Consider the following 25,788-nt stretch of genomic DNA (forward strand, 5'->3'; position numbering starts at 1 on the left):
GGCGAGTCTACAACCCTCGGCACACCCAGGGTGGCTGCGACCCTCGGATGCCAGGGAGAGGCGAGGAAGGGTGTCAGTCAGAATTTCAGAGGGCACAGCACCCTGCTGACACCTTCAGGTGGGACTTTCAGAACAAATTCCTATTGTTTAAAGCAGTCCAGTGTGTGGTGCAGCCCTAGAAAAGCAGGACAGAAATTGTGTTACTTTCACAAGAGACTGTATTCATCCATTAAACAGCAGTGCCCTGAGAATAATGCTTGGTGACACAGGAAAACACTTGTGCTTCAGTAAATTAAAAAAAGAAGCGGATTGCAAACAGCATGTACTGTACAATTCAATTTCTGAAAAACAAAATATGTACTTATTCACGGAGAAAAATGACTGGAGAAATGCATGGCAATGTTCACCACGATGTTCTTGCTTGTGATTAAGATTGTGGATATTTATGTGTACTTTTGGTTTATCTTCGTTTCTCAAAGTTTCACAATGTATGTGTATTGTTCTGATAGCAAGAAAAAAAAATGCCGGACTTCTCTTAGCAAAGACAAATGCCAAGAGCAAAAATGTGTGTAACAAGTTTGGAAGACAAAGTTTGAATATGCTGGAAGCGTATGAACCAAAAAGGGAGACAGAGATCCTAACAGCAGAGCCAGAGATCCTTATACACAAGAGAAAGAGACAGGAAACATTAATGAAATACTCAAATGCTTTAGCAACATCAGAAATGCAAATGAAATCATTGTTTTCCAGTAAAATAGGGCAAGCGGTAATACTCAGTTTGATGGAGTTGGGTGAAATGGAAACTCCTTCTTCTGCAGGAGGGTGTGAGTGTAGAAGTTCCAGGATGGGCCATTGTGGGGACGCCTCAGGGGGCGCTGTCCGCTGATTCCAGAGTCTTTCCTGAGAAAGTAATTCCAGACATGAAAGATGTTTCAATACAGTGACCTCCAGCCATGCAGACCTGGACCCTATTAAAACAATGGCCAATCGGCTCTGGAGCATGCGAAGGACAAGGGACACATTCCCACCATTTTTCATGCATGGGGAACATTTTCAACATGAAATTAACCCAAGAAGGCCTTGATCTGGAAACGCGTCAGCACTGTGGTTCGGTGAGTGGGATTTATTGGGTGATTGTTGGCATTGCCCACTCACATGCAGTCTCTTGGTCTATCATGGCCGGGGCAGCCTCGGTGCATGTGTGTGGGTCCCAGAGGGGATTCAGATCCTGCAGCTGTGACCACCACTCTGTCTGCAGGGGAGCCCACAGTCAGGGCTGCCGCCGACTGAAGAGGGCTCTGGCTAGTTACCCACCTGCCAAATGCCTCAGTTTCTCTTTCTGTAAAGTAGACATGATATTCTTTGATTGTTATGAAAAACTGATATGTAGAGAAGAGTTAACAACAACAACAAAACCCAGGTGGAAACATATACAAGTTGTCAGTACTTATATCTGGCTAAGATTGCAGGATTATTTTTTATTCTCGGTTTTCCAAAATGTTAATGACTTGACAATATTCGTTTTTTATGAAAATAAAAATATCTCAGCTTCTAAATATATGCCCTTCCCACATAATGAGGTCTACCAAGGCTTTTCTGGGTGTGTGGCCACCTGAGAGTCTGGGGAATAAGCTCTGAGTGTGGCATGCGGGAGCCACCCGCTCACTGCTCACCACACCTCGGAGAGTCACCTGTCCTCATGCTTCTGTGAAGCCAGCATCCGTCTGGCCCCAGCCTTGCTGTGGGTCCCAGGGCATCAGGGAGCCGCTGACAGCGCCCAGGAGAAAGGTACTAGCAGAAGCGTCTGATGGCAGCATAACCAAATATTCAGAATTTCACATGTGGGAGATTTCTTTTCTGAGAACCTCAAAGTTCATACAAAATTAATTAAAGCAGGGTCTGTGGAAATAGCAATTATGTCTGTAGTATGTTTGCTTTGATGTTACATAGGTTAAATGGTATTAAAAACAGCAAAATATATGGCATGAAAATAGATAGCAAACTCTGAGCTCCTGCAAACACAACCAGAGCCTGTATTAACAGTGAAAGAGCCCAATACAATTGCAGAACATGACCATGAAATAATACTGGACAACAAACAGTATTAGGAGAAGTATATTATAGCCAGAAGTGTAGAGGTAAGTGAAGGTCAGAGACAAGAAGTATGTAAAGAAATAATTTTAGGTTATGTAGAAAATGATCTTAAGTGACAATCTTTTTCTTCCCAGATGTCCTTAAAGACATCCATCTTTGAAGCAGCAACTAGAGTCCAGCTGGGCAGTCCTCAGGACTGGTTAATTTGTGTACATGACGGACGGCTTCTTGTGCAGCCCATACTTTGAGTTGTCCAACGTTGCTGCTGCTTCTCCTTGCTGATGTCACCTGCTCAAATCTGTGAAGATGGTGAGGGCCCTGCAAGAGGAGGTTCAGGAGGTCACAGTTCAGAGGGGACACAGGCTCCAATACCAAACCCAGGTTAGGGATCTTGAAAAGATGATTGCAATTATATGGTGATATGGTTAGGCTTTGTGTCCCCACCCAAATCTCACCTTGAATTATAATCTCCATAATCCCCACAGGTCAAGGGAGAGACGGGGTGGGGGTGATTGGATCATGGTGGGGGCTTCCCCCATGCTGTTCTCGTGATAGTGAGGGAGTTCTCATGAGATCTGAGGGTTTTTGTTTTTTCGTTTTGTTTTGTTTTTGAGATGGAGTCTCACTCTGTCACCCAGGCTGGAGTACAGTGGCACAATCTTGGCTCACTGCAACCTCCGCCCCCTGGGTTCAAGCAATTCTCTGCCTCAGCCTCCCAAGTAGCTGGGATTACAGGCACCTGCCACCATGCCCAGCTAATTTTTGTATTTTTAGTAGAGACGTGGTTTCATCATCTTGGCCAGGCTGGTCTTGAACTCGTGACCTCGTGATCCACCCACCTCGCCTCCCAAAGTGCTGGGATTACAGGCGTGAGCCACCGTGCCTGGCCGATCTGATGGTTTTATAAGGGGCTCTTCCCCCTTCGTTCGACACTCTCCTTCCTGCTGCCTTGTGAAGAAGGTGCCTTGCTTCCCCTTCACCTTCTGCCATGATTGTAAGTTTCCTGAGGCCTCCCCAGCCATGCAGAACGGTGAGGCAATTAAACCTATTTCCTTTATAAATTATCCAAGTTTCTGAATTGGACCCATTCATTTAAACTTTTTTGTGCCTCTGGTATGTACATATGTACATATGTATTCATTTATTTATTTACAACCTGTGTAATGGGCACATTGAAGACCTTTGTCCCAACCTCATCGTGGAGACCTGAAATGCAAAGATGGCATCTCCACTGCCCCCTCCTGTACAGAACACAAACTGCAGGTTTTTGTACCTTATCACTGGCTTCGTCACAAGGAGCCAACTTCTCCAAATCTCCTGAGTGATGCTTAAGAGATGTGACATGCTTATGAGGTTTTCATGACACCAAAGAAAACCTCTCCTGGTGAATTTGGAGGCATATTGTCCCAAATCCGCAGAACCGCAGGCAGTCCAGAGGGACCCTTGGGTAACAGTGCTTGGACAAGGTGACTTCAATCCCCGTAGAAATGATTATGAAACATCAAAATATAATTCTTCTTGAGTAGGTTTTGCTTTCTGAATATTGCCTCAACGTCACTTTGAAATCAAAGGCTTCTATCTGACACCCGTCAATCATCTGACACACTTGCGGCTTGTCTGCCAGGGCCTCAGTCCTCTCACCTCCGTTGCTGTTTGTGTCTGGATGCGGAGCGTCTTCCTCAGTCCTCTCACCTCCGTTGCTGTTTGTGTCTGGATGCAGAGCGTCTTTCTCCAACAAAGAATGGAGTTGCTTTCAGAGCAGACTCCGAGGCTCGGGTCCAGCACTGCGTGCTGTCTCGCACCTTTCCTTAAATGCCGCTCTGGACGGGTGGCAGAGATTCACCTCCTCTGATGCAAACCAAACTCTGAATTTGTTTAGAGACACAATCAATTCTGTGCTTTCTGTGGTGGCAGGTGCTATGGAAATCAGGCCTAGAAATGTTTTTTGGGGTGAAGGAGTACCACAAAAATTTATAACCAAATTTGGAACGAAGCCAAGAAGAGATCAGCGAGTGCACGGAGACAGTTGGTGCGGTTGGCCTGATGATTCATGACTGGATTCACTGGGTGGGAGAATTCCACAGCTGCGTTACAGGATGCTGGATTCACTGGGTGGGAGAATTTCACAGCTGCGTTACAGGATGCTGGATTCACTGGATGGGAGAATTTCACAGCTGCATTACAGGATGCTGGATTCACTGGGTGGGAGAATTTCACAGCTGCGTTACAGGACGCTGGATTCACTGGGTGGGAGAATTCCACAGCTGTGTTACAGGACGCTGGATTCACTGGGTGGGAGAGTTTCACAGCTGCGTTACAGGAGGCTGGATTCACTGGATGGGAGAATTTCACAGCTGCATTACAGGACGCTGGATTCACTGGGTGGGAGAATTCCACAGCTGCATTACAGGATGCTGGATTCACTGGATGGGAGAATTCCACAGCTGCGTTACAGGATGCTGGATTCACTGGATGGGAGAATTCCACAGCTGCGTTACAGGATGCTGGATTCACTGGATGGGAGAATTTCACAGCTGCATTACAGGATGCTGGATTCACTGGGTGGGAGAATTTCACAGCTGCGTTACAGGATGCTGGATTCACTGGGTGGGAGAATTTCACAGCTGCGTTACAGGATGCTGGATTCACTGGGTGGGAGAATTTCACAGCTGCGTTACAGGATGCTGACCACTCTGTCTGCCCATCTCTGGCTCCAAACTGCATCTGGAGGTCAGCAGAAAAGAGGAGAGAGGCCTATGGTTGTGTTGACCTATCTGGGGCTTTGGACTTCAGGGACTGAGCAGGGCTGGAATTAGAACCAAAGTCTGGGCTCTGCCCTGTGCCCTGTGCTTGGCTTAGGTGGGGACAGAGTCAGCTGATTTCACATTGATTTCAGGGCCACGCTCCTTGAGCATTGTCTCTGGGGTGGGGTTAGATGCACACGCAGACAATCTCCCCTACCTGTCTCTCTCAAAGCACTCCCACCCAAGCCTCCTGCCACAGCGCAGCTCTGCCTGCCCCACACAGGCTCCACCCCTCCCTCGAGGCTCTGCATGGGTTAGGATCACAGCCCTCCTGGACACACCGTAGTGCCCGGCATGACACATGCGTCTCCAGTCTGCATGCCCAACTTCATCAGTAACTGTTTGGAAGATGCAGGCAGAGACCTGGAGACTTAGGGAGAGCGTGGGCCCACCTGGGTGCTTTCTTGGGTCACCAGGGGCCTCTGCCTGCAGCCACATCTCTGGCTCAGAGCAGCAGCCATGGCCCCTCTCACAGAGTGGCCTGCTCTCCCGTGGCCCAGGTAGTACCCTGCTCTGCCAGGCTGCACACACTGAGCACAAACGAGGAGCCCCTGGCAGCCCCTCAGGTATGGTTGCTGTCAGCCTCACACAGGACGGAGAGTGCAGTGTCGGGAGAGGTGGGAGCAGCTGGGCATGACATCTCAGCTTTCCAGCGGCTGTGGCGGTCCCTGCAAGCGTCCCCTCAAGATTAGACAATCACTTGGTAAGAATTCAAGGAGATGCTTTCTGTTCACTTTACCCTGGCTTGCCGTATGACCTATCAAACGAGTTTGGTTCTCTCCAGGTTGCTTTCGTGAGAAACATCGTGTCCATGTTCATAGTATAAACATTGATATGGTTTGGCTGTGTCCGCACTGAAATCTCATCTTGAGTTGTAGCTCCCATGATTCCCACATGTCGTGGGAGGGATCCAGCGGGAGGTCACTGAATCACAGGGTGGATCTTTCCCATGCTGTTCTCGTGATAGTGAAAGTCTCATGAGATCTGATGGTTTTATAAAGGGCAATTCCCCTGCACACGCTCTCTTGCCTGCTGCCATATAAGACGTGCCTTTACTCCTCTTTCGCCTTCCACCATGATTGTGAGGTGTCCTCAGCCATGTGGAACTGTGAGTCCATTAAACCTCTTTCCTTTATAAATTACCCAGTCTTGGGTATGTTTTTATTAGCAGCATGAGAACAGACAAATACACACATACTGCAAAAATAATACCAAAGCATACATTGGTAATCAGCAACATGTCCCAAAATTACTTTCAATAGGTTGTCTTAAAAACAGAATAAAACACAAATGCATGATTGTTCTTGGTGCTGCAGGAATCAGTCCTTGTGTGAGCTTTGGCTTGGGTGGCAGGTCACTGGGGAGCCTGCTGCTTTCTGGAAGATGATTTTATGCAACTTTATCCAATTTAAGCAATCATGAAAACAATCTACCAGAATTTCTGCTTTGTAAAGCCACTTGGATTTACAAAAAAAAAAAAATTTTTTTTCATGAGCCAGTCAGCCACTAGAAATGTCAGACAACACACTCATCTGGTGGTTGACAGACAGAAAGACAGGTCCATGCTCGCCGTGCAGAGAGGCCGTGTGGCCTCAGGCCGTTGAAGATGGGGAGCCGAACCATCCACCGGGCACCTGCACCTCAGGAGCTCCTTCCTGATCTGAGGCTGCCTCGGCGCCCACCTGAACACCGGTTCTCCACTTCCTTCCGGTTGTTCAAAGCTACCTCCATCGTGCACTTAACAACATTATTTTATTGATTCTAAAGTTAAGTGTACCCCCTAAAAATTTTCAAAATACAGAGAAGTACCACAAATCTCTAGCCCACCTTGTGTGCTGGTCACAGTCTGTTGGGTATCTTTCCAGTCTCTTCTGTGCACAGCTGTAAAAACGCAACACACACTCTTGGCCTCCACCTCCCAGGTGCCCTCTGCCCTCTGCCTTTCCAGCCCCTCAGTCACTGAACCCCAGTGACTGTCTCCTTTGGAACCTGGCGGCCTCCTGGCCTCTGTGCCCGCATGGCCCTGCCTGCGTTTCTGAGTCTTAGCCAGCTGGCTGCTCTCTGCCTTGTGCTCCCTCCGCCACCTGCTTCTCCAGGGGCTTTTCCCACCCCTCCAGGGTCCTTCACTTGTTCCTGCTCTTCTACTGCCCCTGAAGGTTTGGCATTTCTGGGGTTCCTGCCCTTGACTCTTCCTCGGAGGCTCCTCAGTCTGTGTGTACCCCCTGGGCTCTGTGGGGACACCCTGAGGGCTCCAAGTCCATTTCCCCACATCTGGTCACCATCACCACACAGCCCAGAGGCCAGTGCCCCAACCAGGCAAGCACCAAGCCCACCATGGCTCTCCCTAGGCCCTCCTTGCTGGTGGCTGGTCCCCTAAACTAGCACCCCTGAAGCTGGTGGCAGCAGCTGTATCGGGGTTTGTTTGCCGGGCATCTCCTGTGTCTGAAATGTGGGCATGCGATCCTCACAGCCTCTTTTGCTGAGGGGAATTGCTCCTCTTATGGGTCCGTGAGGATGCAACAGGACCAGGTAGCTCGGGTAGGGGGCGCTCCCTGCAGAGCGAGCCTCCAGCTGCTGCCTTGACAAAGGCAGACCAACACCTTCGTCTCCATGGGTGCCTGTGGACCCTCCTGTCCTGAGGCATCCCTACCCCTTGCCTCCCCCTAACACAGATGTTAAGTCATATGCTTAAGTAAAAGACGGAGCCAAAACCCAAACCAGTTCTGCTGATCCCCAGCGTCTCCGGTGGTAAACCCTCCCGCCCCGGCTCCCCTTGGGATATTCCTGATAACTTCTTAGTTTGATCCTGCCTTTGGGAAATGCTAGGATAATCTCCACTTTTGGGGAATGCCAACCTTTTTCCTTGGAGCGTCTCACCTCCTGCTGTGGGATGGCTACTCACACCTGTCGGTGTATTTTGTTGCCATGAACATGACAGGTTAATCTGGGGGTGGAAGCTGAGCTGGTCAGTTGGACTGATTTTACTTGTTTGAGTGTTTTTAAATATGATGAAGCGAGGTCTGGGTATTTTAATTTTGTTTATTATTTGGTCTTTTGGGTTACTTAGTGAGACTACATAAACTCATCCAAAAACAGCTAGTTTTGTGCCACATAAATACACTGGTACTGGAACAGAATTAGATCAATAAGCAGCGAAGAGAGGATGACTGAGATGAACAGGACGGTGGAAGAAAAATCAGAACTTGCAGCAATGGGGAGGTCTGGAGCAGCCCCACATGGCACTGCTGGGAACACATGCCTGGACCCGAAGCCACATACCTGGACCCAAAGCCACACAGGTCAGTGGCCCATCCTGACGCTAGCCAGGTTTACTAAGCATCAACACTGGGGAAGACAATGACTGGTGCTGGCTCACCAGCTGTGGAAATGGTGATGCCCTGGCTCCTACTGTGGGAATGGTGAAGTGCTGGCTTTATTGTTGTAGGACTGTTGAAGTGCTGGTCCCGTTGGTGTGGGCCTGTTGAGGGGCTGGCTCCATTGCTGTGGGACTGTTGAAGTGCTGGTCTCATTGGTGTGGGATTTTTGGGGTGCTGGCTCCATTGCTGTGGGACTGTTGAGGTGCTGGTCCCATTGCTGTGGGTCTGTTGAATATGGGCTTCATTGCTATGGTAATATTGATGAAGACAGGAGATGGGATTTTGTGGCCCTTTCTGAGTTTCTTTATCAGATGCCCGTCCTGCATAGCAGCTGGTGCTGCATATCGCAGTCAGAATTCAGCCTCATTCCTCCCACCTCTGTGGATCCAAATGGTCTTTTGCTCCCCGACCTTTTGCAAATCCTTGCTGTTTCCCAAAGGAAGCAAATCTGTATTTTTCTGTTTTCAGACAAACTGATGTCCAGTTCAGGCCCCTCAGAATCTTAGAGTGTCCAGAAAATATGTACTTTCCCTTCAGCAGGTGTCTTGATCTGAATGCTGTCTACACCTTTATCTCCCTAGGTGGAAGTTCCTCAGTCTCACCTACACCCCTCAAGGGTGGAGACATTATACACTAATGGGCAAGATGCAGACATTGGCCAGAAAGAAACATTCCTGGCTAGTGAGAAACAAGTTATGTGTATATTTTAAAATGAACCAAAAATGTTTCCTTGAACAGCTTCCAAATTCATAAATGCATAGAAAAACGAGTCTGACTAAGAGCAGCTGGCGTTTGCAGCTGCCCCAGTTTTACCTGTTTCCAGGTAAGCAGGAGACACGTCTGCTGGGGCAGTGATTTAAGAGAGGCACTCACCTAAAATAAGCAGCCAAAACCATCCTGGTTATTACAAATGTCACAGAAAATAAGTGGAATCCACTTCATTGGAATATATCGACATGAAACCCGGACTGTTATTTCTAAGAAAGTAATTAATGTTTCACCTCTTACATGCCATTATTAATGCTAATAACAGTACTTTACGTGTATAGTATTTTCCTCTTTCAAGCCGTTTTTATCAGAGACCACATAGTCTTGTCTGATTTGAAATATGACATTAAGGATGCATATTTAAATCTCCCACTACAATTGCAGACTTCTTCTTTCTCTTTAAATTCTATTTTTTTTGTTGTTTCCTTTATTTTGGGACTATCTTATTAGGTACATATAAGGTTATGCCTATTATATTTTCTTGATTAATTGCTATCTTCATCATTATATATTATCACTCTTTATCCTCTGTAGTGCTTTTTGGTTTAAACTATATTTTGCTTGGTATAAATATAACTACACTGGTTTTTTTTAAGTATTTGCTTGATAAAACTTTGCAATTTTTTGCTTGTTATCTTTCTGCAATTTTATATTTTATACATATCTGTTGTAAAGAAGACATTGCTGAGCCTTCAAGCTGCTGAATTTGATCCATTTACACTTATTTTGATTACAGATAGATTTGGAATTTCAAAAAATGTATCTTTGTAAGGCACACTTTGTTTTGGGCAGATTCATCTGATTTTATAAAATGAGAAAACAAACAGAAAAAAGTTAAATAATTTTGTGAATGCTATAAAATAAAACAGTGAAATTGCTAATTATTTTAAGGCCACTGTGCAGAAAACTGCTTAAACATATATGAAAATAACACAGCTCTTAACAGATTGCCCTAGTAATTTCCGTAGAACTTCTGTAAGTATATAGAAATTAAAAATGGGATTGGATTAATAATTGTATAATAACACTATCTGGACTTTAACCTTGATTTTCTTTTTTCTTATATGCAATTATACTGAAACATGAAGATAAAATATACTAATTTTGTTCAGATTATCTACCTCAAATGAAGCAAATACAGTATTTTTCAACGTGTAATTGTCTACTTTTCAAAATAACTTTTTATTAAAGAAAGGCTCATAATGCTATGCCTTTAGACAGTACTCCTAATTAATGTAAGATTTCAGCAACACAACATTACACAGAGAGATTACACATGCAATCATAAAAAACTACATATAAATATTTAAAAACATGACATTTGTGAATTATTTCAACCTTCACAGACTTCTTTATAAGCATGTTTCATGAAAAATAAGGGGTCCAGATATAACTCTAAGTTAAACCGTACTTTAAGTTAAACCTTAAGTCTCCCCATAAAGGTGTCCTAGAGCAGATGTCCACCGATCCAGGCATTGCAATGCCTGGGAATCAATGGTGTAATCAGCAAGGTGGAATTGGATATGTGGTGATAGCTATCGATGTTTATGACAGGTGGGTGCACCGTCAAGTTGGAGTCTGAACTTGATAAATTGGCGCTCTTGGAAAAGGTGGGTGAGAGTCATTGTGGATGTGGATAGGAGCAGAGCGGTTCTGAGCAGGACGCCAAAACAGAGGAAGCTTCGGAGGACGCTTGTGCCTTCCTGAGAATGAGGCCACGGAGCACAGCGGGAGCCAGGGGGAGTTTCACAAAGGCTACTTTTGACTTGGTTTTGCAATCACCTTTTTACTAGTAGGTTTTGTTTCGTTTGTCTTCTGTTGGGAATTTAAATATTAGGAAAACAATTTGGGATTATCTGTCTAGACTACCCTGTCAGTCCATCTGAGGCTTGTGTCATCTTAGAGCTAGCTATATATTAGGTAAGGCTTAAAGGCTAGCTGAAGGGTGACGCTTCCCTCAGCTAGGAGGAGATGGTTTTTTAAAGGCTTGCTGAAGGGCGGTGCTTCCCTCAGCTAGGAGGAGATGGTTTTTTACAGCAGTGCTGACTCCACAGGAAGCCACCCAGTGTGCTAGGAACCACACTGGAAACACAAATCTGGAACTGGTTTGTTTTTGTTGTTGGGGGTGTTAACATGTTACCTGAAAATTAATAATCTTTTAAAGATGTGGCAAAGCCTAATGGCACCCTCCTGGGTAGCAAGTCCAACGTTGTCCAGGCACTCACCATTTACAGAACGAATATTGCAAAACGGTTTTCTGGGCTTGTGTTGTTTCCTTCCCTTCTTTCTTTTTTCTTGCTTACTGGCACTAAAAGTCAGCCTTTCATTGTTGAAACAGTTGACCATAATCTTAATTTACATTTACTCTATGTTTCATCATAAGCTGTAATGCCTTTTAGCATAAAGTGGATTAATCAGAAATCGTAGCCGAATTGGCAATTCAATTGTTAATAGTACTGTTTCTAACATTCAAAAACTTTTCCTCTGTTTCGAATTTATTCATTTTAAATGACTGGAACAAATTTGAGCAAGTAAAAGCTGGTAAGCTTGAGATTTTTCTGGTTTAATTATTTTTCTGGTTTCACTTTAGCTTTTAAATCCTTAGACTATGGTCACAAATATAATCCAGTGCATAATTGTCTCCTAATTTGACTGACGACTTAACTGCTGAGTTGTTTTATGGCTTTTCACATGGTTATACTGAAGGACAGTCTACATGCACTTGAAAAGATGATATATTCTGCTGTTGTTGAGAATGGTCCCTAGATATTAGTTGGGTCAAGTTGGTTAATAGTGTTGTTCAAATCTTCTGTATCCTGGCTACTTTTTCATCTGGTTTTCCATCAGTTATTCAGAGTGGGATATTAAAGTGCCCAACTATCATTGTGCAATTGTCTATTTCTTTCTCCAGTTTTATTAGTTTTGCTTCATTGTAAAAATATTTCATGTACTTTGACACTCTGTTATTAGGTGGGTATATATTTACAATTATATTTTGCTGGTAAATTGACTTTTTTGTAATTATAAAAATCCTTATTAAGTTTTAGTAATGTGTTTTGTCTTAAAATTTACTTTGTCTGATATCAGTATGGCTACTATAGCTCTTGCACGATTACTGCTTGCATGGTATATGTTTTTTCATCATTTGCTTTTAAACGATTTTGTGTCTGAAACTAAAGTGTGTTTCTTGCATACCATTTGATTTTTTTCTGGTTGTTTTGTTTTAAATTCATTTAAACCATCTTTAATTTTGGATTGGAGTTTTTAATGCATTTATAGTTAATGGATTTATTAGTATAAGTAATGGCTGAATTTATTTCCACCATAAGATGGCTGAATTTATTTCTACCATCTTGATGCTAGTTTTATCTTATGTCTTTTTTGTTTGCCCATTCTTTCTTTACTTTCTTTTATGTTCAATAGCAATTTTCTAATGTACCATTTTATTCCTTTTTAAATGTTATTCTCTTGGGAAATATTGCTCTAGGGATTAGAGTATACACATTTACTTATCATAGTTTATTTTATGTTAATACTCACTTAATTCTGGCAAAATAGAAACACTTTGCTCCAATACAGTTTTATCCTTTCCCTCCTTTATGCTGTCATTGTCATGAATATTACATGTATATATAAGCATTTATATTGCATTTTAAATAACTTCAAAGAACAATGCAAAAATGTTTATACTGTCTTTATGTTTACCTGCATAAGAACTTTAACATTGCTCATTATTTCTTCATGGGCATTTGAGTTGCCATTTGGTGTCATTTTTTTTCTATCTGAATGATTTCCTTTAGTATTTCTTGTAGGATAGGTAGGCTATTGAGAGGCTGGGTTTCTGGGTCGGGTAGGGACTTGGAGAACTTTTCTGTCTAGCTAAAGGATTGTAAACACACCAATCAGTGCTCTGTGTCTAGCTAAAAGTTTGTAAACGCACCAATCAGCACTCTGTAAAAACGGACCAATCAGCACTCTGTAAAATGGACATATCAGCACTCTGTAAAATGGACCAATCAGCAGGATGTTGGTGGGGCCAAATAATGGAATAAAAGCTGGCCACCCTAGCAAGCAGGGGCGACCCGGTCGAGTCCCCTTCTCTGCTATGGAAGCTTTGTTCTTTGGCTCTTTACAATAAATCTTGCTGCTGCTGCTCACTCTTTGGGTCCGCACTATCTTTATGAGCTGTAACACTCACTGTGGAGGGCTGCGGCTTCACTTCTGAAGTCAGTGAGACCACGAACCCACCAGAAGGAAGAAACTCCGGACACATCTGAACATCTGAAGGAACAAACTCTGGACACACCATCTTTAAGAACTGTAACACTCACAGCCAGGGTCCACGGCTTCATTCTTGAAGTCAGCGAGACCAAGAACCCACAGGAAGGAACCAATTCCAGACACACTGTCAGCAAACTGTCTCAATATTTGTTTATCTGGAAAAGTCTTTTTTAAAATTTTTGCTTTCACCTTTGAAATATATTTTTGCTGACTATAGAATTCTTTACTGATAGTTTTCTTTCTTTCTTTTGGAACTGTTAATATGTCATCCCAATACCTTCTTGTATACATTCTTTGTTATGAGATGTCTGCTATTAATTTATGATGGTTACCTTATATATGGTCATAGAGTTTGGATACCTGTCCCTGCCCAAATCTCATGTGAAATTGTAATCCCTAATGTTGGAGGTGGGGCCTGATGGGAAGTGTCTGGGTCATGAGGGCGGATCCCTCATGGCTTGGTGCTGAATTTGCAATAGTGAGTGAGTTCTCCTGAGATCTGGTCATTTAAAGGAATGTAGCACCTCCCGTCCAGTCTCTCACTTGCTCTTGCTTTTGCCGTGTGACGCACCTGCTCCCCCTTTGCCTTCTGCCATGATTGCAAGCTTTCTGAGGCCTTCCCAGAAGCTGAGCAGATGCCAGCACCATGCTTTCTGTACAGCCTGCAGAACTGTGAGCCAATTAAACCTCTTCCTTATAAATTAGCAGGTCTCAGGTATTTCTTTATAACCATTCGAGAATGGCCTAATATATGTGCTGAGTAGTTTTGTTTGCTTGTTTCTCTTGCTGCCTCCGTGATTTTCTCATGTTATTTGTTTTTCAACAATTTGACTATGATGTGTCTGTCTGTCTCTTTCTGCTTATCTTTAGGATTTGTTAAGCGTCTTGAGTGTGCAGATTCTTCATCAAAGTTGGAAGTTTTCAGTTATTTCTTCAAATATCCTTTTGCCACATGATCTCTAGCTATTCTGATATTCCCGTTAAACATAAATTTGATACTTCTTGGTGTTCAGTGGGTCTCTAAGGCTCTGTTTATTTTTATTTACTCTTTCTCTCTTTTGCTTTTCCAAATTAAACACTTTCTTTCAATTTGTCTTCACGTTCACTGATTTCTTATTTGGTCAGTCCAAATCTTTTTTTGTTTGATTTTTCATTTTTATTATTGTGCTTATTAACTGCAAAAAGTCCACTGGATTAAAAAATAATTTCTATCTCTTTGATATTCTCGGGTTGATGAGTCATTATCACTATATTTAAAAAAATTCTTTAAACATGGTTTTCTCAATGTTTTGAACATATTTATAATAGTTTTTTTTTAGGTTTTTGTTTGCCAGGTTCAACATCTGGGTCTTCTCAGAGAGTTTCTATTGACTGTTTTTTCTTATGTGAGAATCACACTGTCCTGTTTCATTGCGTGTCTTAACAATGTTTCTTTAAACCTTGACATTTTAGGTCATATATTATAGCAACTCCAGATCACAACTCCCTTTCCCTGCGGGGTTGTGGTTGCAAGTTTTGCTTATTGTGTGTTCAGTGACTTGCCTGGACTAACTTTGTAAATTCCTTTTCTCCTGCAGTGTGTGATCACTCATATCTCTGTTCGGTTCCCCCCACCCACTTTTTATTCTTGCATTTATATTTAAGCCTAGTTTTGCAGGGACCACTTGTGGTCAGCCTAGCTTAGTCATACAATGTTTGGCCAATGGTTGTGCTAAAACATCTTGAGCTAATAAAGCTTCTGCCTTTTGCCAATAAATCCACGTGTGGGTTGGGTAATGCATTTTAAAGCCAGTCAGTTAACGTAGCTTGCTGCAATGTTTGCCTTTGGGTGTATATATATATATATATTTTTGCCACAGGGATTGCTATTCTATTAAACACCACACCCCACATCATATCCAGTCAGCCCCCTCTGGCAGCCAAGTTGCCAGTTTGCACTGCCTGCCCAGCCTAGGGAGGACCACCACATGGTTGAATCTGGGGTGGGCAGAGCAAAAACAGCTTCTATGAAAACACCAGTTTACAATGCTTTTACCTGAGGTTTAGTCGATTTTGTGTGTGTGTGTGTGTGTGTGTGTGCGATACATGCTTCCCAATTATTGAAATGCTTCTATTTGATTTCCAGAGTTCTGCAATATTGTATTTGACAATTTTGTCCAGTTTTGTTATTGTTTTGGAAGGAAATTTATTAAGTGTCTTCCTCCACCATTCTAGGAAACCCACCAACTTAGAATAAAATTTGAGTTAAAAAATATGTGTTAGTATTTCTTAGTTAGTATTGGCGCCAGAGTAGAGCGTTGGGCAGAAACACTGATGCATTATTGTTTACTCAGAAGCATTTTATAACTTTTTGACAATATTTCTCTGGGGAGTCCAATTTTATTCAAGACTTCTGGAAATGTGGTGCAATGTTTTAAAAAAACCAAGACACAGAGTATGCACAGTTATGTTGGCGTCTCAAAACTCTTCAGTTCTCACTCTCATTTCTTGGAGAATGTGGCATGACTAGAAGTGTTGCCCTGGAAACAAGTCATCAAGCCGAAGTTCTTATCATTCATCTCCAGCAGTCTCAAGGCACGTGTGAAGAATCTCATGGCATATTTTAGACACAGGATGACCTCAGTGTTCCTGAGAACGTTCCTGCTCAAAAGAGCTGCTACTGTGTGCTTTGTGACTGCCGGCTCTGCCTACAGGTGACACACTCCTGTCACTTAATCATCTGAGTGCTGGATGCATAATTTATTGTTGCATGCAAAGTTATGCACAAGTGCATTCTCCAGATCTACAGGTGGAGAACTGAGGGAGCTGAATCAACTGTTCATCGCATCAGGGTACAATCTGAAGTCTCTAGTTTGCACCAGGAGGGTAATTCTGGTTCAGATTATTCAGCAATAGAGCCTTGGCCCTCTTTCCATTGTCACACAGAGTTGTAGGAAAAACTATTTTAAAACAGAAGCTTATGTAAAAATAATGATCTTCTTATTGATTTTGCATCTGAATTTTTAAAATTGTAGAAAACAAAACTTTTATTGTTATTTTTAATATTTAGAGATAGAAAAACAAGTGTTAATGTTTTCATTTGAAACCCATTCTTTTCCTATATGTGTATGTTTCCCTTATTTCAGAAGTAATATCTCCACAATATAAAACATTTGGAAACAAAGATGAAACTGAAAACCTGACTTACTGTCCCTCACTGTCCAAAGGTAACTGCTGCCACTATGCTAATGCATTTCCTTAAGGTACTGTGATCATATGGTCAATGTTTTCTTCTGTCTTTCAGATTCATCTTATGCCTGATTCATAGCATTCTGTTCCCACTTATGGATCCACCACAATCTCCTACTTTTTGCATTTTTTTACTACTATAAATTTTGTTTCAATAGCGCCTTTGTCCATAAAAGTTTTCTGGGCTTCTGAACATTTCTTAGACTAGATAACTAAAATATGAATTTTTTGTTGTTGTTGGAAAGACAGAAATATAACCAAGAATTCAGATAAGTTTTGTCTAATTGCTTTCCCAAGAAGTTCCCATCTCTGCTTCCGAGCTGTTGCTTTGTGTATAGTACCATAACTGGTTATTATTGTTTTTAAAATAAACTACTCTTTAGAACACTTTAGATTTATAGAAAAATTATGGCAGCAGTATAGTGAGTCCTGTTTTCTATTAGAACAATACACCTGTTATACTCAGTGAACTAATAGTGACACATTATTATTAATTCAAGTCCATATTTTATTCAGATTTTCTTATTGGCTTACTGTCTTTCTTCTGTTTCAAGATTCTGTCCAAGATGCCACAGCACATTTAACCAGCATGTCTTAGCTTAGCTCTACGGCCGGTCATGAAGGGTGGGATAAAATATCATGAATAGGAGAAGAAAAGTACAAGAAAAGTTTTGGGAAAAGTCCCGTACGTGTGTCTTCAGAAAACCGTTGCTGCATCGATAAGAGGTCTGATGGTGGTTCACACCTGAGGCAGCACGCGGCCAGTGCAGCTCCCAGCACGGCTGGTGCCCTGTGGAGAGACCCTGAGGCCAGGACCACCAGCTCGCTGGTGTCTGCATCTGTGATGGTGGTGTCTGTGAATCTTTCCTCTCATGGGGCTGGGGTTGGGGTGACAGGCCTCAGCGCTTGTGTCCCAGCCCTGGAGAAGCCTTGTGGGCAGTGAGTAAGGGCTGTGGAAACACATGCCTGAGCCCCTGGCATCGGGGCAGGAGACTTGCTCTGCACGTGGCAGTTTGTGGCCCTCGGAGAGCCACCTCACCGCTGAGATGTAGCCCCTTTTTGGGAAGAGGAGAAGGTTGGGCCTGTGTTCTTTGTGCTCTGTAATCGTTGCCAGATGGGACCCCTAGTATCGGGCACTTGCCTTGTTTCCTGCCTTATTGTACAGTTTCCCAAATGACAGAAGGGTTGTGAGTGAACATGATGATGCCTTTTGCAGTTTTGTTTCCAGATGCCTCCCCTGTGAGGGTCACATCTCCTTCCCTCCCCTTATTTTTGTGGTTTGCTGCCCTTTCATTAGTGAAAGCAAAATGAATGGCATTATTGATTTCTAAAAAGGGCTCTTCACAAACGTGTTTTGGGTTGTGCTTTATCCTTGCTGTCTGATAGCAAAATGATTGCCAGGCACTGATACCAAGGTAACCAGTGAAGATCTAACAATTCTTACTGTTTACATCAAAACAAAAGTAGTATATGGTCCCTTTAGCAAACATCGTGCATTTCATGTGTCATGTGTATTTCCCAAAATGCCTGCCACCCTGTCCTTGTGACCCCTCGCTCCCCTTACAGCAATGGCTGTTTCTAGCTTTCACACTCTTCAAACCTCCCCACAGCATTCATGCATCTCCTGCTGCTAGAGATTACAGAGGCCCCCGCTGAGAGCCCCATCCTTAACACCAGACAATTGCACCACCCACTGCTTTGCCCGTTACCACAGAGGAGCCATCCCTTCCCTGGAGAAGCACGGTCTCTCCACCTAATTTTGGATCCCACCCTCATTTATTCAGGAGCCTCACACTGTGGATGACATCTTTTTGTTCTAGAATATTCAGCCCATCGCTCCTGGTTGTATCTTTCCCATCATGCTCCCATCTGTCCCGTAGTGATGGTATGAAGGAATGATTCTTAGATCCACCATATGCCTACATCTCTTTTTCTATCCCATTTTTCTTCCTTTCACAGAAAATTTCTAAGTTCTTACACTAAATTCTCTCTAAATTTAGAAATTTCTAAATTTCTAATATGCTTATGCTAAATTCTCTCTTTTCTCTTTTCAAATTTGCTTATCCAGTGAGCTACTTATGTTTTCCCTTTCAGCATTTTAAGCTAGTTATTTTTAAATCCAGATGTCCTTGATTTATGGTGGCCCTTTTTGTGTTATAAACTTTCTGCTATGTTTTCTACTCTTTTTCTTCCTTCTCCTCCTCCTCCTATTTTTTTTTCTTTTTGGTATTAAACATACTAATTTTAAAGTTCTCTTTAGATTGCTTTATCATTTCCATTTCCTTGGGAGTGAATTCTCTCATTTGCTGACTTTCTCTTTTATGACATTTTCCCCTCAGTGTGGTTTTACAATTTAGTTTTCAGGATCATCTCTCTCAACGTCACCTTTCCATGACTAGTTGTTTAGTGATTGTTTTTCCATTTCCCCCGGGGCCCCCAGTTCAGAACCCACATTTCAAGTGCACTTGTCTCAGTCCATAGGTCTCTGATCTAGGTAGATCTCTTCCCTCACACCCAACGTGCAACAGTGACACTGAGTGAGGAAGACTGCAATAAACACGTCCATTCAAAAAGAGGACGATGATGGACAACAGCAGCCACGGGTTCATAGCATTTCCGAAATCTTTCCAGGCTCAGGTGTTTGCCCCTTCAGTGAGGGCCCAGTCCTGCTCCTTGGGAATGAGTCTCCAAGGCTCGTGGCTCTCCTGTCTGGGCTCCTGGCTCTGCCTTTTCTATAAGAAGTGGACTGCGGTTGCAGCTGTGTAGCTTTCTAGGTCTGCATCCTGACCAGACATTTGGGGGACTCCAAAGCCCTCTTTTCATTTTGACAACCTCTGTCTTCTTCAGTTAAGTATATTAATTCCTTTAAAAACTACATGAATTTTTATGTATCAATTTATAATTCATTCCATTACACAAAAGCCATATTCACAAATCTTCTCAAGATAAATCCTTCTCTACCCTTAGACCTTCTGTGAGGCTACCACAGGGACAATGCCCTTGAAGGTCTTTAAAGCTAGACTGTTGTGTAGCTGAGAGGATCTATCAGACATGCCCTGAAATAAGCAGCGGGAATTTCGCTTAATGGAGAGTGTATGGGATACAGTACCCTGAACCTTTCTGATATCTTATTGAGGGCTCTTACTACCATGCCCTGAATTCTGTGAAGCTCTAGTTTACTGGAAGTGACCTTAATTTGATCTTAGCTCTGAGGTCATCCCTTCATTCACAAGCATTTTTCTCATTGGAAAAAATATTCTTGACTTGTCATTTCATCCACACTCTACTCAAAAACTAAATAGATGGTCTTCAGTTTATCTCTCTCCTTCCACATTTTATTACAAGCAGCAAGAAGAAGGCAGGTAGTGCTATGAATATTCTGCCTAGCAGTGTCCTCATTGAGATCATGGTTAGCTGTACTCCCATGTCCTGTGTCACTACAACACACAGTGTCGTCGAGTTTCTGTCTCTGTATAGCAAGAGTTTCTTACCTCCAGCCTCCAATAGCACTTTTCTTGCTTCCATTCAAGCCCTTCCAACCACCACATTGAGGACATTCAGTGAGGACATTCAGTGACTGGCTGCTGGGCTCAAAATCAATGTTGCAGGTTTTAGGTATGATTTTGCCAGCATTCCACTTCTAGGTACCACATTCTGTTCTAGTTCCCCATGAATATGTAACAATTCATTTCAATATTTAGTGACACAGACAAACAACTATTTATTATGGCTGCAGATTCTGTAGGCCAGCATGGCTGGAGGGACTAGGCTGAGTGCTTCTCAGTGGGAGTTGCTTTGGAGGCTGCAGTCAGATGCAGGCTGGGCTGCAGTCATTTAAAACTCTGGTGGGCTGGATATTCAAGGGGCTCATTCACAGCTGAGTTCGTGCTGTCTGCTGTCTGGGAGCTGAGGTTGTCTGTCCCACAGAGTGCGTGCACTGTGGGTGGCTCCATCTTGCTTGGGAGACTCAAAACACCATGGCCGAGTTCTAAAAAAGAGTAACCTCAGTGGAAGCATCTGGGAGCAGGTGAACCTGGAGACCAAGGCAAGAGCTGCAGCCTTTTCTCGCCTAGCCTTGGAAGGCGTGTCATCTTACCTCTCCCACATATTTTTGGTTATAGTGAGACCTTAGTACTAGCTTCAAATCAAAGGGAGAGTAGATCACAACTCTCGATATAATTTGTGGTCATCTTTAATTCATCATGCCTACTTATCTATACAGCTCAGCTCCGTGGTGCTTTTCTCAGGAAAGGTTTCTCTGACCTCCTCTAGCAGGTGAAATCTGCCATGATTTTCCCCGTGCTATAAATTACTCCACTGGGTAACTGAGGTGCACAGGTAGAATTTTACATTTATTTGTGTGACTGGGTGATAGTGTCAGTTTCCCCACCAAATTCTAATTTCTTGGAGGTTACACCCTTTACTTTCCCCGCAGCAGTTGTGATCTCAGCTCCTAGAACTGTTTTCAGTAAATATTAAACATTTGATAAACACTTGCTGAAGAATTAATGTATATGTTTGAAAGTTCTTGAAAAAAGTTCTAAGAGGTTGTTTGTGATGTTTCATCTTGCCCCCACCTTCTGTTCCACTATACTTGATCAATGTCCCTCTACCAGTTTCTCTCTTCTCAGTTCGCACATTCATTTCCATCACTGTCCATGTCATTGTCATCTTTATTCTTCTGGTGCCCAGTACGGTGCCTGAAACTTTCAATAAACAATGAATGAATAATGGGAAAAGGGACTGTATTATATTATATCTTTTCATTTATTTATTTTTTTGATGGAGTCTCGCTCTGTTGCCCAGGCTGGAGTGCAGTGGTGCGATCTTGGCTCACTGCAACCTCCGCCTCCCGAGTTCAAGTGATTTTCCTGCCTCTGCCTCCTGAGTAGCTGGGATTACAGGCATGTGCCACCACGCCTGGCTAATTTTTGTATTTTTAATAGAGACAGGGTTTCACCATGTTGGTCAGGCTGGTCTCGAACTCCTGACCTCATGATCCCTCGCCTCAGCCTCCCAAAGTGTTGGGATTACAGGCGTGAGCCACTGCGCCCAGCAGATACTATATCTTCTTACACCATTTAATCTGTAGAGCCTTCCCTAAAGAATAACGCTCTTTCTTTGCACAATTTTTGGGCTGTGGTAGAGAAAGGAGCTTCTCTATTTGCCTTTGGGTAAGCGAAAATCTTAATCTGTCCTTCCCTTGCGTTGCAGTGTTGCTATCCATAGTGCTATGAAACAACAAAACAAAACAAAACAAACCCCCTAAGCCAGGGCGCCTTGGATGGTTCACTTGGCATGGTCATCTTGCATTCCATCTGCCCAGAAACATGCTGTTTTTTAAAAAAATCTCTATTCCTAATATTAAAAACCCCAGGCTATAGGATGAAGTTTTCATCTGCTCTCCCCACACTGTTCTAGGAAACTGCCTTTTCGTGCAATAATAATATTAGCTACTACTAATGGGAGTTGCACTGTTAGGATGACTAGGGAATGCCTTATCCCCTTCATCTGTTAGCGGGGCGGGAGTTGCTATTAAAAATGCCATATTTATTTATTATTCCTGATATTTAAAACCTGATATAATCTTTAGGATCTACTTAAGTCGCTGAATTTGGATCCCATGTGGAGGTCCTGTTAATAAAAAACGAGTGTTTCCATTTCCTTACTCTCTATCTCATTCAGTCCAACACTGGCTACTCTTCTTATACCTTAATTTTATATACATAATATTATTTATAAATGTGTAAGATATATTAATAGAATATATATTCTTCTAACAGCCCTAGTTATAATATATATACATATACACATACGTATGTATATGTACATATACACCATATATATGTATACATGTGTGCATTTTATGTGTATTTTATATACACACACACAAACAGCAGAATTCCTCTTGCTTTTCTCCACTCCTCACATTTATGCAGTCTCCCTTGCTAGATTATTGTAAGTTATAATTGAAACATTTCATATTAAAGGAAAGGGCTAAATATATTTAACTTATGCATATAATGTTGTGTAAACAAAATGTGTACCAATAAGCAAGAAGGACTGGATAATATTTGCTGACCATGGTAAAATAGCTGACCCTTTGCAACGCAAATCCTCTTTATTTACTAACGGCAAGGTAAGGAAATGGTTCACGCTGAGGCTAAGCAGAAGAGAGGGGCGAATCAGGACAAAGCTGGTTTTCCCTGGCAGTGAAGGGTGCGCTTTGGCGTCAAGCTCTGCCTCCTTTTTTTGTATTTACACATTTAAAAGCATATGCCTTTCATTTCTATTATTAGGGTGTCAACAGCTATACGTAGAGCCTTTTTCATGTTTTTTTTTTTTTGTGGTGCTTACAATTCATGGTAAAGTATTTGTTTCCTGAAGAAATGAATGCCAAAACCCCCGAGTTACACAGATCACATATGACATAGCTGTGATATGGGAACAGTTAATACCCAGCTTATTTCAGTACATTCTCTCAAGAGCCCGGCTTTCTGTTTTGATTGGAATGCATGCACTAACGTGTGAACACAGCCTCATCTTTCCCAGTCACCTTTCCAGGTATTCACGAGGCCCAGATGAGACCAAATTCTGTGTGCCCACAAACATGTACCAAACAAGCCAAAATATCTGTGGAAAATATGACATCTGGTCAAATTGGTTATAAAAATATTGTTTGTAAATCTTCCTCCTCTCCCCTCCTCTCTCCCCTCTCCCATCTCTCGTCTCTTTTTGAGATGGAGTCTTGCTCTGTCTCTCAGGCTTGAGTGTAATGGTGCAATCTCTGCTCACTGCAACCTCCCCCTCCCGGGTTCAAGCGATTCTCCTGCCTCAGCCTCCAGAGTAGCTGTGATTACCGGTGCTCACCACGACGCCTGGCTAATTTTTGTATTTTAGTAGAGATGGGGTTTCACCGTGTTGGCCAGGCCGGTCTCGAACTCCTGACCTCAAGTGATCCGCCCGCCGCGGCCGCGGCCTCCCAAAGTGCTGGGATTACAGGCGTGAGCCACCGCGCCCGGTCAAAGATACTGTTTGTAAATCTAAACCCCATGTATTTCTTTATGTTTATTTCCAACTCATGTGGCTTACACATATGTCTGGTAGTGTACATGTAGTTTAAAAGAAGCACTCACTAAAAAGAAAGTAAAAATATGTGTAGAAAAATGAGACACGTTTATAACAGTAACTTTTTTCCTAGTGAAAATAATGCGCATTAGTCAAATTTTGAATTTGGAAAAAAATCCCAAAAACGAATCAATTTATTAGATTTTTCACAATATTAGATTAAAAATAAGTTAAAACACTGCACTGTTGAAAAGCGGCATTTGCCCAGGCGTTTCCTCTTTACAGACGAGTCAGTGTCTTTGCCGTTTGGAACCTTGTCTTCACTATGGGATGGCACTTGATCGAGGCGGCCCCGCAGCCTGTTCCGCGGTGCTGGCGTCTCCCTCTCCCTGGCGAGGCTGCCCCGAACCCCTCTGCACCCTCCCTCCAGGTACCGCCCCTGGGAGGTCCGGTGGGGACCACGGCCCGCGACGGCCGCCGCACAGCCACCTCCCGGCGCGTGCAGTGCGGGCCCGGAGCCAACAGGTGGCACAAACGCATTTGACTTGGGCATCGATCGCCGCGCCCGCCCGGGGCCGCACCTCCGCCGCCAGCGTCCCTCCAGCCCGGCCCCGATGCCGCGCAGGCGCAGTGCTCTTCTCTCCGCGGGCCGGGCCGGGTCAGGGTCAGGATCTGACCCGAGTCTGGGTCAAGCCATGGCGGGCGGCAGGCAGCGGACGGCGGCGCCCAGGCAGTGCGCCCTCTGCTGGCCACTCGTGTACACGCTGGCTCCAGCCAGTGCTGCACTCCTGGCAGACAGGGGCCGGGCAGGGGCCGGGCAGGGCTGGGCTGGGCTGGGCTGGGCTGGGCTGGGCTGGGCAGGGCAGGGCTGGGCTGGGCTGGGCAGGGGCTTGAGCAGGGTTGGGCAGGGGCTGGACAGGGGTTTGGGCTGGGCAGGGCAGGGCTGGGCAGGGGCTTGGCAAGGCTAGGCTGAGCTGGACAGGGGTTTGGCAGGGGTTGGGCAGGGCGGGGCCTGGGCAGAGCTGAGCAGGGCTGGGCAGGAGCCAAAGAGGGGCTGGACAGAGGTTTGGGCTGGGGGGATGGAGGGGGGCTGGTCCCCTGCTGGTCCCCAGGATGAATGAGAATCCAGAGTAGAAAGGCTGCATTATTATTACCATTATTATTTGAGGAGTATCAAGTGCTTCATTTAAACACCTTCCCCAGTCCCTTCCCACAGTGCAGGGAGCTTAGGAACACGCAGCTCGGGAGCTGGCACCTGCCTCCCCACCCCCTTCCTTCTGGAAGGCTCCTGTCTGAGCCAGCGCCAGCAGGAGGGGCCCGAGCTGGGAAGGGAGGCCTGTCACTCGGAGGTTCCAACTCACTGGAGAGGAGCCTCGCCTCAACTTGTTTTTAATGTGTCAAATCGCAAAGTCACTTCCCAGCAATAAGGTGTGAAGGGGTTACAGCCTCCCGAGGGCCCTCCAGGAGGCTGTGGCACAGGCCTTTGTTTTCTGCCTGGCAGAGTGATGGGCCTGCTTCCACCCGGCATGCCTCAGCCCACAATTTGTCACTTAGGAAGCCTCTCTTGTGAAGTTTACACCTGCCTTGATCGCTGTTAGTGGTGCCCTGCCTTAGGGGGCACCTTATAGCTTCCGAGGTCCCTCCCTGGCCCATCCCCACAAGCCTGGGTTTGTGAGACGGGCTTTCCCTGCAGCCCTTTCCAAAGCCCCGTATGTCTTGTACCCATTTCCCCAAGCCCACACCCAGAAAGGGGATATTGGGGGGCCCCACGGTGTTCTGACAAAACAGGACCTCAATTCGGACCTGGTTAACTTTCTGGCTGTTATAGTCAGAACAGATTTGTCTCTAGGAGAACTCGGCACCCTCCATTCTGCTCGTAGGCAGCAAGCCTTGCCGTAGCCCCATGGAGAGGCGCCGAGTAGAGCAGATGGCCTTTACCGGGGCCTGTTCTGTACTGCGTGCTAAGCTACACACAGTCCTTCGTACATCACAATATGGCTCTATTGTTGTTTACATTTTACAGATCAGGGAATTGAGGCTTAAGGTGACTAGCTTTCCTGTAGCTGAGCGAAGCCATCAGGCTAGGTATGCTTACCCTAGAGCCTCGGCGTGTGGGCAGATTCTACTTGCCCCTTGGAGAAGGGGGGCTCGATGGGCTCTGCCGTAAC

At 44.2% G+C, this 25,788-nt stretch overlaps 1 long non-coding RNA gene across 1 annotated transcript in view, besides 1 other annotated feature; it reads left to right on the plus strand.

Annotated features, from left to right (window-relative positions):
• LOC105374618 (uncharacterized) overlaps window positions 1-25,788 on the plus strand; it is a 188,354-nt gene that overhangs the window by 83,419 nt on the left and 79,147 nt on the right. The window lies entirely within an intron of this gene.
• Window positions 24,014-24,483: a silencer, noted in NCBI's record as "silent region_15890". NCBI's record gives its function as "represses an Ori minimal core promoter by ATAC-STARR-seq in GM12878 lymphoblastoid cells {active_cell/tissue: GM12878}" and the evidence as "EXISTENCE:reporter gene assay evidence [ECO:0000049][PMID:35858748]".

The sequence above is a fragment of the Homo sapiens genome, chromosome 5, assembly GCF_000001405.40.
Source record: "Homo sapiens chromosome 5, GRCh38.p14 Primary Assembly".
Taxonomy (NCBI): domain Eukaryota; kingdom Metazoa; phylum Chordata; class Mammalia; order Primates; family Hominidae; genus Homo; species Homo sapiens.